We start from the raw sequence: 17,999 nt of genomic DNA, 5'->3' as shown, positions 1-17,999 counted from the left end.
CTCTTGTTTCTCTTTTTCTTGGTCCTTTTTAGGATGTATCATTGTTCATTCCCCTTCGTGAGCTCCGTCGTGTTTTATTTCCTTCTCTGCGTTCTCAGGTTGCCCTCGGAGTGGAGTCTGTGGCTTTCCACCGGAGCAGCGCCCAGGAAGTGTTTTCGTGTGATGAAAGTGTATGTCTGAAGTTCGTTATGAACTCGTCCTAGCTCCAGAGCTAGTGTGCATGCATGTCACTGGTCGTACAGATAATTGATGAGCAATTGGTGTCGTCTGAAGCAGTGACAGCCTGGGTGTGTCAGTGTCTCCAAAACGGTTCCACTGTGGCATCCTACAAATGGGCTGCGTCCTGGGAGCCATTGAGAAGTTGTACCTCCTTTACGGAGGGTTCTCTGGAATAGCAAATTAGGGAAAATGCATTCTGAGGTTCTGTATTTACAATAATAATTTATAAGCAAATAACTCACATTTCATCCTCAGTATTTTTCAGTGCTGTACAAGCGTCTTGAATTACTCTGGTAGCTTTTCCAGAAAGACCCATGACTTCACCACATTTCTCGAGTTACGATGAAGGTAGAGTCTGGGGCCCTGAGTGAGCATCAGATGCTGGAAGCTGGGGCTGGGAGGGGCCAAGCATTGGGGACAGACTCCAGACACCTGCACCACCCCCTGGCCCCATGAGATACGTTCTCAGACCTTCCCAAGAAGGATCTGTGGCTCCTCTCAGTGCTGTGAAGTGCAGGGGGCTTCCCTCTGGAATTCAGCCCATCTCTCCCTCCTACTTTGGCTGGCTCCAGATGCCATTTAGAGGAAATGTTTGGCCCATTTCCCAGGTGCCAGCTTTTCCCATGAGGAAGCTGTCAGTGCTTCCTGGTCAGGGAAATCTTTTGGGCGTGATTTGGTCAGTCACAGTCTGTTGGGGTGAGGTGGTGCGTGGAGAGGACAGGATTTGGAACCAAGGGTCCCTGGATTAGAATCCCTGCTCCATACCTCACTGGCTGTGTGACCCCAGGCTCGCGAATCTGCCTCTCTTGATCTGTTTCCTCATGAGTAAAGGGAAATGACTTTGTACTCTGGAGTGGGCCTCACTCATTCATGTGCCAGGCATCGTGCTAGGTGCTAGGGCACACCCCAAGGCGTTCGGGAAGCAGAGGCTGCCGTCCCTGGCCTGGGGCCTCCCTGCAGTGATGGGAATGTAGCCCTGGTGCCCCCACACCCTGCCCTTCAGGAGCCGTGGTTTCCTTCTGCTCTCTCCTGGGAGGCGCACACCCCTCTGCACCCAGAGCCAAGGAGGGCAGGCAGCCCTGGGACCCTCTTCAGGCACCGCAGCCAGGGTCTGTGTTACCCACAGGTCCTCTGGATGTCAGCATGGCAGCCACAAACCTGGAGAACCAGCTGCACAGCGCACAGAAGAACCTCCTGTTCCTTCAGCGGGAGCATGCCAGCACGCTCAAGGGGCTGCACTCCGAGATCAGGCGGCTGCAGCAGCACTGCACAGGTACATCGGGGAGCAGGCCCGGGCAGGCGGGGGGCGGCTATGGGGCACGGCAGAGCCCAGCGTCAGAATGTGCTAGGCCTGCCCTGCCCCCAGCTCCCATCATCGTTGCAGGAGTCCATCTGAATGCCTTATATCATCCTCATTGCATAATCAAGATGCACTAAGCATAAAGCTGCAAAGCCTTTTCTTGGCATACTGAGGACTTAAGAGATTAAAATACAATGGTTAGAATCTCCAATGTGTTTTGGAACTGATAACCAAGATATAGCCTGTGTGATACATAGAGCCAGCTGCTGGATTGTTTGGTTTGGATGGTTGGGATATGCTGTGGGGGAATGGGGAAGGGAGTTTGGGGGAACAGAGGGTGCCCTCTGACCCCAGGGAGCACAGTGGCCGCAGATGTTTTCTGCTGCTCTCATGCTCACCTCTCCTGCTGCCAAACCCTGCTCTGTCTGGGTAGGACTCGCTGGCTAATCGTGGGAATCGGTTTTGCATTTTCAAAGCTGATGAAGATTTTGAAATGTACAGTAAAAGAATTAATGTGTAACATTTCCCTTTTAGATTTAACATATGAGCTGACAGTCAAAAGTTCGGAACAGACAGGTAAGAACTCCTCCCCAGAAGTAAATGACAGTAGGTTTCCCTTTGTGGTACGTGTTGGTGCCGTTTTCACTAGTCACACACTTAGGAGAAAATGCTCTTGCTGGGAAGAGTTATGCGTGTGGCCTGAGCTCTCTAAGAGAAGATGAGAAGGATGTTTGGATCCCTCCGTGTTGCAAGTGGTTATTAGTGGGCAGGGGGATGAGTGATTTTGTTTTCTTTTGAATGACACATATATTTGGAATGCCTATTATATGTTTTTCTGATTTTCCTACAATGAACATGTGTTCCTTGTGTAATCAGGACATAAAAATAGACGTGAGTTAAACCCAAAAGGAGGAGTAACAGCAGCAGCAGCATTGGGCAGAACCGCCCCCGCTCCTCCGTGTCGCTGCCGCCTAGCATGGGCCTGGCACAGAGCAGCAGCTTGCTAAATGCTGGCGGGCGAGTGGTCACATTACTAGACAGCTCCCTGAGGATCTGGGGCTTTCTCTGGACTACAGCCCCAGAACCCTCCCCAAACCAGAATCCTCCAGGACCTCAGGAAACCCCAAAGGGCAGCTGCCTGCTGGCCGCCAGAGAAGAGACAGAAACCCAGGCCTTCCCAGGGCCCTCTGTGCCTGCTGCAAAGAGCCTGCTCCCTAAAACAGGGTGGGTGTTTGGAAAGTGCTGAATCCATGTTTGTGCAGAGACACCTGTTGGAAACGGGTTTATCACGTCGGGAAGGCAATGGATGGCTCAGCAAGGCTAGTTTACTTTCTGCAGAAAGGGTGCAACTCGCCAGCAGTCTTACCACGAGAGCACACTCAAACAAAGGAGACGAGGACATTTATAATCTTCATAACCTGATGCAATTGCCCTATGACTGTGTCCAGTTTCCATTGACTGGAATGGGACCTCACATTCTAAGCTTGACCCGATTGGCTAACAGCTTGAAACTTTCCTAAATAGGCAAAAGGGAAAGAGGACAAAGAAAAGAGGAAGCTAGTCATGAGAGGGTCAGGAGAGTTTCCAAATAAGGAAGAGCATGCACTATGGTCCAGGGCTCGCTCAGCCCTGCGCAGGCGTGCCGGGGCAAGGCGGAGCAGCTACACTGGAACATATATAGAGATATACATAGAGCAAGGAAATGACAAGCTCTTTATGGTTTCAAGAAACTTTGAAGAACTTCTCCATTCCCCACAATGCCTTTTTCTAAACAGGCCTCACAATGGCAGTTACTATTCATGAGAGTGTCCAGTTCCTTGTAAAAGACACAGACCATTTCCACCAAGCCTTAGTGGATTACCGAGCACTGATTTTTTTCCATTTGCATTGCTCATATTACAGCCTCCTGAGTGCGCCACCCAGGAGCCCAGACATCTTTTTGTCTGCGTGTGGTAGGGAAGGCGCCGTGGGCTTCTTGGGGTGGTGGAATGGGAGCCTGTCCTCAGAAGTCTCCCTGTGGAGGGATACCAGGGACCTCCCCCGAAGCCCTGGGACTGGGAGCTGGGCCTGTGGGAATGCAGAGGAACAGGATTTCAGCCTGACACTAGGGACCTCCAGCGTCCACACCTGCCAGCACTGAAGCCTTGGGAAAGGAGCTACCCGTGTCATGGAAGCCAGGGCGTCCTCGCTCCCTGTCCTCTCCTGGCCCAGGCTAATCTGAAGCAGCATAGTTTTGCCCTGTGGCCTCTCCAGTCACGGTTCTCAACCTGAGGTCCCAAGGCCACCTGCCCACCCACCCACCCACCTGATGTAGTACTCCCAGCAGCAGCAGGGTCTCACAGCAAGGGCTGTGTCTTAGGGGAGGCAGTTTCAAAAGCCTCTCAGGTGGTTCCAGTCGGGGCGTCTCCCCTCCCAGTGGTGAAAATCATTGTTTTACATTAGTGCACCCAAAACTGCCCAATTCCAAGCAGTTTCGGGACCCAGGGTACAGCATAGACTCTTGGCTTCCCTCCCCTGGGGGCTGTGACCCCAGAAGTCTGGGCGGGCCCAGGGAGTGCGCAGGTTTAGAAGCGTTGCAGTGCCCTGACGCTCGGGCAGGCTCAGCAGTGCAGCGTTTGGAGACCAGCAGCAGTTGGCTGCTGTCAGCTCAGTGTGCACCAAGCTTTCATGGGAAGACTGAAATTTCCAGAAAGGGGGTACGTACAGAGGAGGAGGTGGAGTGGAGCTTTCTATAAAGAGCAAGAAATTGGCAAAACAGGAGGTGCTGATTCCTGGGAAGGACAGTCACTGAAGCAGCTCTCCAGAGCTGGGGATGGAGGAGCAGTCGTACCAGCTCCTTCCCACAGGACGGCCCACTCAAGTCGGGGCCGGTAAACATCAGCCCGGAGCCAAGGCTGCACCCTGGAGGAGGAGGCAGCACAGCTAGATGACTCTCAAGGAAGGATGATGAGGAGGATGTCTATCCAGGAGGAGCTTCTCTCAGGATGCTGTGGCGAAAAGAACCAGAGTGATGCTTAATGAGCCCCAGATTTGGGCCTCTGCTCTGACTCGGAGGGGCTGTGTGGCCTTGGGCAGGTTCTTTGACATCTCTGAACCTGCATCTTCATCTGACAGGTGCCCCACAAATCCAAGTCCCCAGTCCGACCACCAGGGCCCTCTGCCTTTGTGGGCTGCCCCTCACAGGACATGAGCAAAGCCCAGGGACAGCCTTGTTCCTGAATGTTCCAAACGTCCATCAGCCTTTTGCAGCACTGCCTGGGGGAAGAAAAATCCCAGGATGCTCACAGCAGGCCAGGGATGTGGTTGAAGGTCTGAGGTTGCAGCCCTTCCTCGGAAGGAGCCCAAGGCCCACTGTCCACCCGAGTGTGGGCTGAAAGCAAAGGCCCTGCGACAGGCATGGGTTGTTGTCCCACAGGCCCTGGGGGAAGGACAGCGGGTACCAGGCCCAATGCCGTGCCCAGGTCAGCATTTCAGGTTGCAGGGGTTCAGCCCAGGTGGCTGGGCTCCTGGGTCTTACAGTGTCTACAGAGTCGTGTGTGTGTCTCTGTCCCTCTCTCTACCTCTGAAACTGTGTTTTAGGATCTATTTTCCTTTTGGCAAAAGAAGAAACCTCATGAAAGGTAGTACTGCATGCATCCTTTTTAGGGAGGTCATTTGCTGACATTATACCTGCACATACACACACAGACACATGGTTTTTAAAACTAGAAACTTGCAATGGTTCAACTTAAAATTTTTCAACTGCATGGGGCAATACCCATTCAGTACACTCCTCGACTTACCATGGATATGTCCAGATAAACCCATGGTAAGCTGAAAATATCGAAAACACACTTTTGACTTACGGTATTTTCAACTTACATTGGATTTTTCGGGACATGACCCCATGCTAAGTCGAGGAGCGCCCATCACCTGCAGCGAGCTTGTAACATGCAAGTGTCCTGCACAAGACCAGTCCAGTCAGCTGTGGGCCCTCAAAAGCTCAGAGTCTGGCGGCGGGACATGCTGCAGAGCTGCTGCTAGCTCAGGCAGGTGGGAAAATTCAAAGCAAGACAGACAGAAGCCCGGGAAAGACGTCCAGTGGCGTCCAGTGCCTAGGCAGGCCCTGGGTGGTGGAGTTGGTACAGGGAAACTGGGCGTGCAGGTCTGGAGTTAGGGCAAGGACAGAGGGTACAATAGAGACAGAACAAGAGGTGGTGGCTTGGGGAGAGTGATGGAAGCTTTGATTTATGTGGGAGCAGATAACATTCAGGACAGATTGAGGAACTGGAAGGCATCTGGCAGTTTGGGTTTTATTAGGCAGTGAGGAACCATTTTGAACAGAGGACAAGAATATTTAGGGGGTGACCAAGCTTCCTAAATACAGGATGGGCTGAAACGAAGACCAGAGAGGAGGTGGGACCAAGGCCGGCTGGAGGAGCAGGGAGGGGGCAGCACTGAGCAGCCAGCAGAAAGGCACAGTCAGGGAGGGGAGGCCAGGGATGGCGACTGCATCCAGTTTCCCTGGGAGAGTCAAGATGTGGGAAGCAGAGCAGCTATCTGGACTTGAGGGTGTGTCTGACGGACACTCACTTGGAGAAGTGGTGCTCAGGAGACACTGAATCGGGAGCTGATGCTCAAGTTGAATTCCAGACCAGCAAGGAAGAGTCTAGAAAGAACTTCCCAGGGGCCAGGCAAGGAGGATGGCCAGCCAGCCAGCGTTAGGAGGAGTAGGATGGTGACCCAGGGTTTAGAGCCAAGGGTGCTATGTGAGGTGACCAGGGACTGCAGGTCACCAGAAGAGCAGGAGAAGGAGGTGGCTGGTGTTTGCTGAAGGACTGGGTGAGGGCAGGCACCCAGGGACAGCAAAAGGAGGCAGAGGCCCGAAGTGTTAGGGCAGGGGCAGGGAGGGACCAAGGGTAAGAGCCACAGAGGCGAGACAGCTCACTCTCTGAGCAGGAAGTGGGAAAGAGTCTGTGTGTGTGTGTGTGTGAGAGAGACGGGGGTAGGGGGGTGAGAGAGGCGGCCAGCGGCAGAGCAAAGGTGACAGCCCCACACCTCTTCTCCTCTAAACATCAGAATTTTAATTCAATAGACATGGATAATTCTTTTTACATTTGAGTTTCAAAACAGTACTTTGAATGTAGCAGGCATTCCATAAATGCCATCTGAGCAGACAGAGGGATTTGCGGCCAGTTGAATCCTAAGTGTTTGCTGAGGTCTGATACTCTGCAATTGCCTGTTTTAAGTTCAGCATCTTTAAGGTTCAGAGACATTCTTTTATGCAGTAGGCCAGAGAACTAAGAGCCGGAAAGGGCCTCTGAGATGCCCCGATCTCCCCACCTCGGGGAGGGGAGGGGTCTTTCCAGAGCCCCCACAGCCCTGCCTTCTGCATGGCCCCCACAGCCTAGACAGGGCCCCCACCAGACAGGTCCGCCTGCCCCATAGGCCTCACCACTCGGCCTCAGTCTAATGAGTTCTTCACCTGCTTCCTCGGCTTATTCTTGTAGGAGACGGGACTTCTAAAAGCAGTGAATTAAAGAAAAGATGTGAAGAGCTGGAAGCCCAACTGAAAGTGAAAGAGAACGAAAATGCTGAGTTGTTGAAAGAACTGGAGCAGAAAAACGCGATGATCACAGTGCTGGAGAACACCATCAAGGAGCGAGAGAAGAAGTACCTGGAGGAGCTGAAGGCCAAGAGTCACAAGCTGACCCTGCTGTCTAGCGAGCTGGAGCAGCGGGCCAGCACCATCGCCTACCTGACCTCCCAGCTGCACGCCGCCAAGAAGAAGCTCATGAGCTCCAGCGGGACCTCAGATGCCAGCCCGTCAGGGAGCCCCGTGCTGGCCAGCTACAAGCCAGCGCCCCCCAAAGACAAGCTACCCGAAACGCCTCGCCGCCGCATGAAAAAGAGCCTCTCAGCCCCCTTGCACCCGGAATTTGAAGAGGTCTACAGATTCGGGGCAGAGAGCAGGAAACTCCTTTTGCGGGAACCAGTGGATGCTATGCCCGACCCCACCCCATTTCTGCTGGCTAGGGAGTCCGCCGAGGTCCACCTCATCAAAGAGAGGCCCCTCGTCATCCCCCCCATCGCCTCCGACCGAAGCGGCGAGCAGCACAGCCCGGCCCGCGAAAAGCCGCACAAGGCCCACGTCGGGGTGGCACATCGGATCCACCACGCCACCCCGCCGCAGGCCCAGCCCGAGGTGAAGACCCTGGCGGTCGACCAGGTGAACGGAGGCAAGGTGGTGAGGAAGCACTCAGGGACGGACAGAACTGTGTGAAGCCCGCCGTGCCCCACCCCGCGCTGTCCATGCACTGTGAGCACCACTGGGAAATCTCAGCCACACCTTTTCTGTTTAATCCCATGCATGCCAAACACTTTTCACACCTACCGACCCATTCTCCTTCTGCTTCTCTTGCCCTCTTCTTCACACCAAAATATGATCGTGTCCCTGCCGCAGAATATGTATTTCCTAATTGCTGTGGCCAAACGCCTGTGTGCCGAATCGCTTGCTTCTGATCCCGCTCCGTGTAACCTAAGTGCGCTGCAGGCAAAGCCCAGGCCACGGCTGCGTCACTACTGATGTTCACGATGCCACACAGTCACACACCTAATTCATTCTCAAGTCGGAGCAACACATACCAACCTTGACCTTATCCTCAAGCTCCAGGGCAGCCTGGCCGAGCAGCCCCTGCTCCCTCCTGGAGACCCTTGTCACCTCCCGAGCTCCTCCTGGAGACCCCTGTCACCTCCTGACCAACCTTTCCCAGGGCGGCACCGATCACCGAGCAGCCGTGCGTGTATCTCAAGGAACTAAATAAGATGACGCTACTCCTCATAGCACCACAACCTGAATGTGTGTTCATATTTTTTTGTTAGTTTTATCCAAAATGTTTAAGATCCCAACAAACTTTATTTTCTAAACCTGCCTTCCTTCTGTTTTGTGTCTTTTATTAAACAAACACCTGAAGGAGGGCTAGGAGACTGCAGGAGGGAGAGCAATCACAGGTCCCAGAAGCGACTCCGGCCTCCTCCCGGCCCAGAGCTAGTCCTTAGAATGTGCTGCGCTCCTGAGCTTCTGTGGGAAGCTGCTTTTGCCTCTGATGGCCCCTGCCCACTGTGCTGCCCGTGCTAGCCCCTCTCCTCCCTCATGGAGTGAAGCCACCCCTCACCTCCAGGTGGCCAGCCAGGGCTCCAGGCCAGCCTCATGGTGCACAGAGGGAAGGGGTGCCCAGTGACCACTGGTCCTGGAGGTTCTGTGTCCTTACCTGACCCCACACAGACCCAGGCAGGCTGGGGGTAGAAGCTCATGCAGGAACTAAACACTAAGCTCAACAACTTCACAGTCGCCGTAGCAGGTCAGAGCCAAAGAAGCTAGGGCCAGAGAGTTCTGGAAGGGGGAGAAGTGGCTCCAGGTGACTGGTCACTTCTGCTCTGTGCCCGACATCATCAGCCCTTCTTGCCAAAAAGGAGCATCTGCTGAAACAGACCTGGATCATCGAAAACACACCTTTGGAAATTACATTAGGATTCTCACTTGTGCCAATGCTATGTATGCCAGGCACTTTTGCCTAATCAAGTGTTTTCTCTGAGAAGGAAAAGAAAACTCCACACATCTTAAAATACTCTCCAATATTTACTTTTTGATTATATAAATTCCTTTTAAAAAGTAGTATTAAAAACAAAACCATTCAGGTTAATTTGTATGGAAAGAGATTTAAGTGGCTGATTTCAAATGAAAAATCAGTGTCAGTCCCCCTCCTGCCTCTTGAGAGGCCCCAAGAAATGACAGCAGACCCGATCACTCTGACAACCCCAGGCTCCGAATTCATTAAGCAGTTTTCTTCACCCAAAGGTTAATCAGAATTCAGGGTGAGGCATACTCCTTGCAGCACCCAGTGAGAAATGTGCCTCGTGGTAAAGAGATCAGCTTCAAAAACCAAGCCGACTCCCATGGCGTTCCTTCTCATGGAGGTGGTGTAGACGGGGGTCCGGAAAGTATTCTGCAAGGGAAAGGCAGGTGAGATGCCCCCACGGAGAGAGGGTGCAGAGGGATAAAGGCAGAGGTGCAGTGTAAGTCTTGACAGGCAGGGGCCCCTGTGCAAGACTGCACCTGAGAACACGCACAAGGCTGGGGCTGCTCAGGGCCACCCTCCGCCAGCTTCACGGGGACCTGGCTTCACACTGACACCCTGGTTAAAAGTGGGTCCTGGCCCAGGCAGAGCAGAAGACATCTGCTGTCCACACCAGCGGGAACCACTTTATGACTCAGGCAATGTCTGCAGCATTTTGCAAGAAGGGAGGGAGTCTCCCCTTGGTTAGTCTAGACCACAGGATCACAGCTTGAGCCTGACACCTCTGGAAGGACCGGCATCCACACACACATACAGCCGCGCCTTTTCCAGGAAGCAGCTATCCGTAGCTTTTATCACGGCTCCAAGACTCTCCCCAGCCCATAAAGCTTAGGCACCCCTGTTTTAAAAAGTAGGACTGTTGGAAACCACCTCAGCCATAACTACAGTCAGAAGAGGAAGGGCCCTGGTGTCAGAGAGGAGGGGCTGGGACCTTCACCTGCAGCTTGAGGCGATGGGCTTCAATGGGGATGATCTTCAGGATCGGCAGGTCCACAACCAGCACCTTGGGTTTGCTCTTGATAAGACATCCTTTTTCTATATCCCAGTCAGCACCTTCCAGGTACAGTCCTGAGACAAAGCATCCTAGGGACACAAGGCAGAGACTGGATACAACTGGAGCATGCACAGCCTGCCACGGAGTGGCTCTATCAGGCGCACACACAGCGACACACAGGCCACTGGCTGGCCTCCTCCCCAGCGCATTGGGGACAGCCCAGGCCCTTCTCCAGCATTTCTGTCCTGCCCACCTTCCCTCTGTGGAGGAGCAGCCCAGACAGGAGACCCTGTGGCCCTGCCCCATGGCCCAGAGAAATGGGTGTGGGGCGGTGGCCTCTCCCCCAGGAATCCTCATTCCTGGGGCATCAAGGCCCACGGACTTAGACCACCCTGGGCCCCCAGGCTAGAAAGATGCATGGTCCCAGAGTCAGAATGGGCACCATGGCAACCCCAGCTACCCTGTGAGCCGAAGTGGCTGGGGAGCAGGAAGTCGAAGCCTCACAGAGAAAGTGGTCTCCGGGGAGGAGGACCCAGCAGATGTGCAAAGAGAGGAACACACTCCTGTGGCCCCAGAGAGAGTGGTGGCCCGGACACCTGCCACCTCCCCTGCCACTGAGACCTGGAGAGTCCCTGCATCTTTACCGTAAGTCCCCAGTCCTTAAGCCATCTCAAAAGAGCTTTTGTTCCTTGCAGTTAAAAGAACTCTAAGACAACATGGACCCGGGGAAACAGCAGTTTCCAGCTCTCATTTGCACAGTCAGTAACCAATGTCTAAGGGACCTGAAGTTCTGGCATAATCAAAGAGTTCCAACCAAGTTAGTCCATGCTGCTCTGTGGCTCCCATGCCCCTGGCCCCGTCAGGGGTTACAAGAAAGCCACCTGATGGTTTTTGCAAGAGCTAATTCTGACCTAGGAGCCCACTTGCCATGAGCTAGCAGAGTGAACATGGTTCAGGTCTCCCCTGCCATAGACCCCAGGTCTCAACGGAGAAAGTGGAAGAGAAACTTCCGTATCCACCCTCAGAGGTGTTAAGACATGGGCAGTGCAGAGACACAGGAAATATTTGCAGCAGGCTGGCTTTCAAACATGGCCTGGCCCATTTAGGCCCACGCTATGCCTGTCCCTTTGAGTTGGAGGTGGTTCAGGGAGAGAAATCCTAAGTGAGAGGCTGTGGATCCCTAACGAGCTGACGGTACCTTGTCCCGCCCGCTCATTCACTTCATCTGCATCCTGGAACTTGGTCACTTGTGTGAACAAGGTGGAGCGGTCCAGTGGCCAGCCGTTCTTCCGGCAGGTGGCCTGCACCAGCGCCGTGAGGTAGGACTCAGGGATGTGCAGCCCCGAGAGCCACATCACGCTGGGCTCGCTCTCGGTCACCTGGAGAGAAGAGAGGACAAGTGCTGGGAGCCTGGGGCTGCCATCCAATGCCAGGTCAAAGCTGGCCTGGAAGTTTAGTTTATGATAAAAGACATATTTCACCTAAGTGGCAAAAGATGGCGTTGGCACAACTGGCCGCCTGTCTGAGAAAAACAATCTGGACTGCCACATTCCAGGTAGATCAAAGATTTAGATATAAAAATAAATAAAACCACAAAAGTACTGGGCCACATCTCCAATGAATGCTTTCATATCGTGGAGTAGGAAATACAAAGCCCAGGATAAAAAAGAAAAGCCTTGTAGGTTTGACTACGGAAAAATGTAAAGCTTTTCTGTGGAAAAAATACCGTAAGCAAAGTCAAGACTTATGACAAGCTTGGAGAAATACCTGCAACACTGGCAGACCAAGGGCTAATTTCTTTGATTTGCAAAGAGCTCTTAAACATCAATGAGAAAGATGGAGACCTCACTAAAAATGAAATCCAGATACAAAAGGACAATTCACAGAAAAACAAACACAAAATGTCTGTAAAGCATGCAAAATACGCTCAGACTCACCATAATTAAAGACATGCAAAACAATGAGATATTATTTTCACCTATCAGGGAGACAGTGATCCAAAATGTTAAGAACGCAGCATTGCAGCGGAGTGAGGAAAGAAGCACTCTCATAGACTGTGGTTTCAGCCTTTCTAAGAACCATCCAACAAGAGCTATCAAAATTTAAAATGCACAAGCTCTTTGATCCAACTCTTCCACTGTCAGAATTTACCCATGGAATATACCCCTATGCATATTCATATACATGTGCACCAGAATGTTATTTGTATTAGCAAAAAAAAAAAAAAAATGGTAACCACCGAAATGTAGGCAGTTACCATATTTTTAGGATACAGAAGGAGGAGAAAGGATATGAAACATTTGTACAATGGCATACTCTAAAAAAGAACGAGCTAGCTGTGTACTAATATGGAACAAGTGCCAAGATATACACTTAGATAAAATAATCGGGTATGTAAGAGTATGCTTCAAAGTCTTCAAAAGAAAAGGAAAAACAAAAGATACAGATAGGCTTGTAAGAATCTCAGACCATTTCCAGAGCACCCAATAAACTTTAACAGAGGTTACTGCTGGGCAATGGAAAGAGGGGATTGGGAGGTGGTTTGAGGAGTCTAGGCTGACACCTGAATCGGCAGAGAGGAGGCGGTGACGTGCCACTTACCCACAACATGTACTGGCTGAACCGCCGCAGGAAGTAGACCATCCAGTTTCCAAGGGACTTTAAGGTGTCAGGAGCAAGCCTTCTCCAGATATTAGGGATATGCCCGATAAAAAGAGACCTGGCCACATCATCTAACTCATTGCTCATTCCAACTTCTCCAGCCAAGGCCTATTTAGAATCAAGAGCAATCGGGCAGGACTCTATCAGAACCCCAGGTGCCACGTATCTAGGCAGTAATCTGCACATGAGAGACAGGCTCACCCTTTGAAGTTCAGCCAGAGACTTCGTCATCCGGACCACAAGCTTGTTGAAGCGTTCCAGTTCCTGCAGGAGCACCACCGAAGTGGGGGAGAGTCCTGTTCCGAGGCGCTTCCTCACCTGGTCCAAGTCAAAGACTTTGGGCATCTTGTTTTCTATTTCTTTGGCCACTTGGCCAATATAATCATCGCGGCTGATACCACTGCTGGATTCCCCTAAAACCAGGACACTTTTCAGAGAAAGCAAGGCATCCACGTGCAGAACCGGAGCCTCCTGAGCCTTCCAGTTCTGGGAAAGGCATCAGCAACGTGGGAGGGCTACAAGAAGCAATCGTAAAACCCCAATCAAACTAATGAAGTCCTCCTGAGTAGAGTTTACCTGTCTGAGGCTGCAGCTCCAGCAGGTGAGCCCACATGTCTCGAGCCGCCTGCGTGTAATAGCCAATCTCAGCGTTGGGGTGGAGACCAAACACTTCTGGCGTGTTGGCAAGCGGGAGGGCCTCGATGGCTTCTGCAATCACAGAGAACAACGGAGGTGGCACTGTCCAGCCACCTGTGCTTTCTCAGGGCCCACAGCCTCAAAGTCTCCAAGACATGCAAGACTAATTTCCACTGTTTAGAGGGTGACTTTTTTTTTTTTTGAGACAGGGTCTTAGTCACCCAGGCTGAAGTGCACTGACATGGTCATTGATCACTACAGCCTCGACCTCCTGGGCTCAAGCTCTTCTCCCATCTCAGCCTCCCAAGTAGCTGGTACTACAGGTATTCACCACCACACTCAGCTAATATTTTTGTTTTTTGTTTTTTTGTTTTGATTTTTTGTTTATTTTTTGTAGAGATGGGATCTTGCTTGGTTGCCCAGGCTGGTCTTGAACTTCTGGGCTCAAGCGATCTGCCCTTCTTGGCCTTCCAAAGAAGGGATTACAGGTGCGAGCCACCATGACCAGCCAATGACATGTTTTTAATGTAAAAATTCTACACTACCACACCCAGTCCAGCCGTATGTTCATCTTTTACGAAAATGGCTCAGTGAGCTTCACTGTGGCCATTCTGCCCTTCCAGGTGGAACCTGATTTATTTACCATCATTCCAGGATGGGAAATCTGAACTCTATCAGTCAGCTCTGCAGCCAGGAAGCGTCTGCCGAGCCACCTAACAGGCTTAACAGACCACACCTGACCAGCCGAGGAGCCCCCACCAGGAGAGGAGCCGGTTGAAATGTATGGTCTCCCTTAGAAAAAGCCTTGAAAACATCTTTTCATGTCTGAGAAATCTCACCAACAAATTTCTCCTTTTCATCACCAACAGGGATTTTGTAGTCCACTTCCTTGTTCCGGAAGAAGTGGAATGGCTGGAAAGTATCAAAAATGAAGTCCCCCAGGTACTCATCCATGTAGATGGTCAGGATGCGGCGATCAAAGCTGTCGATGGCCCGTCCTCCATACATGACCTGAAATTAGAGGGCCTGAGAGCCAGCCAGGAGCTCAGAACCTACTGTGTGCACCCTGGGGGCCCGGGGCCAGAGGCTCACCCAGGGTCAAGAGACTCCAGCAGCCTGGCTGCTGCAAGGCTTGAACCTGTTGACTTGCATAACCTTTCGGGCCACTGTTCACACAATTGATCTGTGGCTTTGCTGGCTTCCCAAGGGATAGGGCCCAAAGCAGTAAGAAGCCCTCAGGAAGTGTTGGGAGCTCCTGTGCAGCAGGCAAAGTCCCCCAAACACATCAAACAAACAGCTGAAGAAGCCAGCAGCTGCTTCTGTCTTTGGAATTGATGTCACTGCCTGAGCCGTGTGCAGACCACCGGGGATGCTTCCTGTGAGCTCTGTATACAGCAACAGCTGAGGCAAGGGGCTAGAGGATGCCTTGCCTGGATCCCCAGCCATGGATCCAGCTCAGGGAACCTCCATGTGAACAGAGCTCACTTAGGACAAAGAACAACCAGGTGAGAGCAGAGAGAATTGTCACAGAAACCCAAGGGGAACACAGGGGCAGAAGAGGCTGGTTCTGAGGGCTCAGAGGAAAATAGGGGCACGAGGCCACAGCTCTGTAGCCCCAGAGGCACCTGCGGAAGGATCCCCGGTCACCCCTACCTCTCCAATTAGGTACTTGAGGCTGCCCCACGGGATCCTTGGGTCCCGTTGCTGGAAGGCTTTCGTTAAGTACGTGTTCAGAATTTCCATGCAGACCTTGAAAGAAGAGAACACGCTCAGTTATACTGAAACCCACCAAGCTGTTCACATTCTGATACTTTTCTGAAAAGGCTGCTGGGAACGGTGCAACCCTGCTGTGGTTGAACCCGGAGGAAAGTCGGGAGGAAGTGGGCCGCCTAAGGAAGCCATTTCCAAGGAGAAGCAGCCACTGTCACCTGGAAGTCAGACTCATTGAAGTCATAGTACACGTTCCAGCCAATCTTCCCAAACTTCCTTCTCTCCTGCACCACAGCATGAAAGAACGCCAGCACGTAGACCAGCGGCTTGAAGGCAGGGTGCGGGCACTGGTCCAGCATTTCGTGAGAGATCTTGAAGTAAGTTGCCCTCATGTTGAGTTTCAGCCCATTGGGTGGCTCGGTGACAACCTTCAGAAGAGAAGAAAACACACAGTGATGGAGACCGCAGGCCCACAAGCTTGGAAGAGTGTGCACAATGCAGGCACTGCGCTTTCCTTCCTCTCTACGGAGCCATCTGTCTGAGACCTCCAATAGCTAAAGTCTCTTGTCCAGGGCCCAGGCTGAGAAGTTAAAGGACTAGATGTTCTGGCTCTCAGGGTCAAGGGTCAAGAGTCTTTGACCTTCCTCTGAACCATGAGATCCTTTACTATATATAAAATGAAAGTAAAGTCTTCCCTCCACCTCCCCAGAGAGAGAGAGAGAGACAGAGAATGACAAAACCTTTCCAAAAGAATTTCCCGGAGAATAAATTAAATGGGGCATGTAAACCACGCGAAACTCCTGCAGTCAGCACTAGCGAACTGCAGGCTGTGTGTGGGGGGGGGGGCCGTGAAGTTTATGAAAAGTAGCGTAGATATTGTTAGGGACACATGCAGAATTGGTAGAGATAGGCCTGGGAGTCACAAACACCCAACCCAGGACAGCGGCTCCCTCTAAAGAGAGAGGTGGGATTGAGAAGGGTTTCAACCGCAAGGTTTCACCTGCAGCCTAAGGTTTATTTCTACACAGACAAAGGCACACCCCGGCCCCAGAGCAGCATGCAGGTGTTCTGAGAAGCTGCGTGCTGGCATGTTGATGTCCATCCTGAAGCCAGACCTTTAGGGACTTCTGCAGAATCCCAATGGGGAAGCCCTTGGTGGGGTCCGTGGTGAGCCACAGGCGGAAGTCTGGGTGGGGCTTGGTGATCCTCTCCAGGGACTTCTCCAGATCTTTCAGCCACTTGACCAGGAGGTGGCAGTTCTGCAGCATCAGCCACTGCCCCCGAGCCACCGCCGTCTCCAGCAGCTGCAGGGCCACCTGCGCCGGGGGAGAGGGAAGAGGAGAGGGGTTGGCATCCAAACCCAACCCCGTGCTCTCCAGAGACCCACTCCACACCCACAGAAGGGCGATGGCAGCTCCAGCAGAAGCCAAAAGCAAGCCGAGGATCCAGGAGCTACAGGTGGAGCCTTCAAATAAACCATCTTTGAGAAACCCCATGGGCCCCGTGGGTGCACTGAGCTGGTCACACCCAGCCTGGAAGATGGGTGAGCATTTTGCACTCATCTGCCTCCCTGGCCCTGGAAGTCCCAGCTCCTCCCACACAGTCGCTCCTGTCCCCTGAGGACTCCTGAGCAGGGCTGCAAGAGACCAGCTAAAGCCCACCAGGAAGTCGGGACTGTCCTGGCCACTGTAAGATCTTCAGGGCCCTAGGCCTGGAAAACAATCACCATGTCCCCTCCCAAATGTAATTCAAAGCACAAACAAGCTAAACACCCAAATCAAGCCTTGCTTTCTGAAATGGCTTAAAACACATGAGTGCTGGCGTTACAATAGCTTATTTCAGTGTTGTGGTTGAGAGAGCTGGCCCGCCTTGCTGGTGCCCAGGGCTTGCCTCCTGGGCCATCCAGCATGGGTATTGCCATCCTCATCTCACCCAGGGGCTTTCAGCAGTAGAGGGGCTTACCCAAAGCCTCACAGTTCATAGCAAAGCCAGGACTGGCAGTCAGCTCCCTCTGACCCCAACACGCATGCCTGCAACCATCACACTTACTGACGCACAGACTTTTCCTGCAAGCTTTGTCCCACATTGTACTGAACTTGTGTAGCAAGTTCTAGCAGGGAGCACTGTGATGCAGAGAGGCAAGACCTCAGCAAAGAAAGCTCACTGGCTCAGAAAGGTAGGAGGATTTGCACCACAGTTCTGTCCTGAATGGTCCTGGGCTCAGCCTCTCTCCACCCACTCCCTTGGCCATGCAATTGGGGCCATAATAATCCTGATCCACAATGAGGCTGTTCAGGGACTAAGGAAGGTAAGGACTGTGTGTGAAAGGGCTTTGAAAACAGCACAGCCTGAGCATCGTGTCTCATGCCTGTGATCCCAACACTTTGGGAGGCCGAAGTGGAAGGATCGCTTGAGCCCAGGAGTTCAAGACCAGCCAGGGCAACATGGTGACGTGTTTGTATTTTTCTCTACAGAAAATACCAAAAAAATTAGCCAGGCATGGTGACGCATGCCTGTAGTCTCAGCTGCTACTGGGGAGGCTGAGGCAGGACGATCACTTCACAATCAGGAGGTCGAGGCTGCAGTGAGCTATGTTCGCACCACTGCACTCCAGCCTGGGTGACAGAGTGAGACCCTGTCTCAAAAAGAAAAGAAAAAGGAAAAAAAAAGAAAACAGCACAGCACCATGATCACAACATGAGGTTGTGAAATCATAACTATTATTGTCATCTTCCCAGTGTTTCATTACTGCTTCTTAGCTCGGAAATGCATCCAACTGATTTGTGGCGTGGCACTCAGCTTAAACCCAGGTTAGCTCCTTCTTAGCAGACACCAGGGACCTCCCCTAAACGTAGAGCTTGTT

General features: G+C 52.3%; 2 protein-coding genes and 1 long non-coding RNA gene across 28 annotated transcripts in view, besides 2 other annotated features; 2 read left to right on the top strand and 1 right to left on the bottom strand.

Annotated features, from left to right (window-relative positions):
* Positions 1–9,213, top strand: part of CCDC92 (coiled-coil domain containing 92) — a 37,206-nt gene extending 27,993 nt beyond the window's left edge. For 7 of the 16 annotated variants that reach the window (NM_025140.3, NM_001304958.2, XM_024449193.2 and 4 more), the window contains 4 exons: positions 475–567; positions 1,346–1,492; positions 2,054–2,095; positions 7,009–9,213. In NM_025140.3, coding sequence (NP_079416.1) covers positions 534–567; positions 1,346–1,492; positions 2,054–2,095; positions 7,009–7,781 — 996 coding nt within the window. In that variant the 5' untranslated portion in view covers positions 475–533 and the 3' untranslated portion in view covers positions 7,782–9,213. Of the gene's footprint in view, positions 1–98; positions 171–474; positions 568–1,345; positions 1,493–2,053; positions 2,096–7,008 lie in introns of all 16 variants that reach the window. The other 9 variants (XM_024449197.2, XM_024449194.2, XM_024449196.2 and 6 more) reach the window with 4 other exon arrangements.
* Positions 5,789–6,289: an enhancer, noted in NCBI's record as "H3K4me1 hESC enhancer chr12:124423097-124423597 (GRCh37/hg19 assembly coordinates)". NCBI's record gives its function as "activates a minimal SCP1, AML or CMV promoter by ChIP-STARR-seq in naive H9 embryonic stem cells {active_cell/tissue: H9 hESC(naive)}" and the evidence as "EXISTENCE:reporter gene assay evidence [ECO:0000049][PMID:30033119]".
* Positions 6,290–6,790: an enhancer, noted in NCBI's record as "H3K4me1 hESC enhancer chr12:124422596-124423096 (GRCh37/hg19 assembly coordinates)". NCBI's record gives its function as "activates a minimal SCP1, AML or CMV promoter by ChIP-STARR-seq in naive H9 embryonic stem cells {active_cell/tissue: H9 hESC(naive)}" and the evidence as "EXISTENCE:reporter gene assay evidence [ECO:0000049][PMID:30033119]".
* The window catches only part of DNAH10 (dynein axonemal heavy chain 10), a 173,420-nt gene continuing 164,539 nt past the window's right edge, over positions 9,119–17,999 (bottom strand). For 10 of the 11 annotated variants that reach the window (NM_001372106.1, XM_017018960.2, XM_011538016.3 and 7 more), the window contains 10 exons: positions 16,252–16,452; positions 15,355–15,564; positions 15,080–15,175; positions 14,266–14,437; positions 13,367–13,498; positions 12,992–13,203; positions 12,731–12,898; positions 11,328–11,508; positions 10,073–10,218; positions 9,125–9,504 (listed from right to left, as the gene is read on the bottom strand). In NM_001372106.1, coding sequence (NP_001359035.1) covers positions 9,358–9,504; positions 10,073–10,218; positions 11,328–11,508; positions 12,731–12,898; positions 12,992–13,203; positions 13,367–13,498; positions 14,266–14,437; positions 15,080–15,175; positions 15,355–15,564; positions 16,252–16,452 — 1,665 coding nt within the window. In that variant the 3' untranslated portion in view covers positions 9,125–9,357. Of the gene's footprint in view, positions 9,505–10,072; positions 10,219–11,327; positions 11,509–12,730; positions 12,899–12,991; positions 13,204–13,366; positions 13,499–14,265; positions 14,438–15,079; positions 15,176–15,354; positions 15,565–16,251; positions 16,453–17,999 lie in introns of all 11 variants that reach the window. The other variant, NM_207437.3, reaches the window with a different exon arrangement.
* DNAH10OS (dynein axonemal heavy chain 10 opposite strand) lies at positions 9,855–17,784 on the top strand. The gene is made up of 2 exons (NR_187476.1): positions 9,855–10,774; positions 14,296–17,784. It is a non-coding gene; the product is annotated as a dynein axonemal heavy chain 10 opposite strand (long non-coding RNA).

The sequence above is a fragment of the Homo sapiens genome, chromosome 12 (genome assembly GCF_000001405.40).
Source record: "Homo sapiens chromosome 12, GRCh38.p14 Primary Assembly".
Taxonomy (NCBI): Eukaryota; Metazoa; Chordata; class Mammalia; order Primates; family Hominidae; genus Homo; species Homo sapiens.
This window is presented reverse-complemented; position numbering and strand designations above follow the sequence as displayed.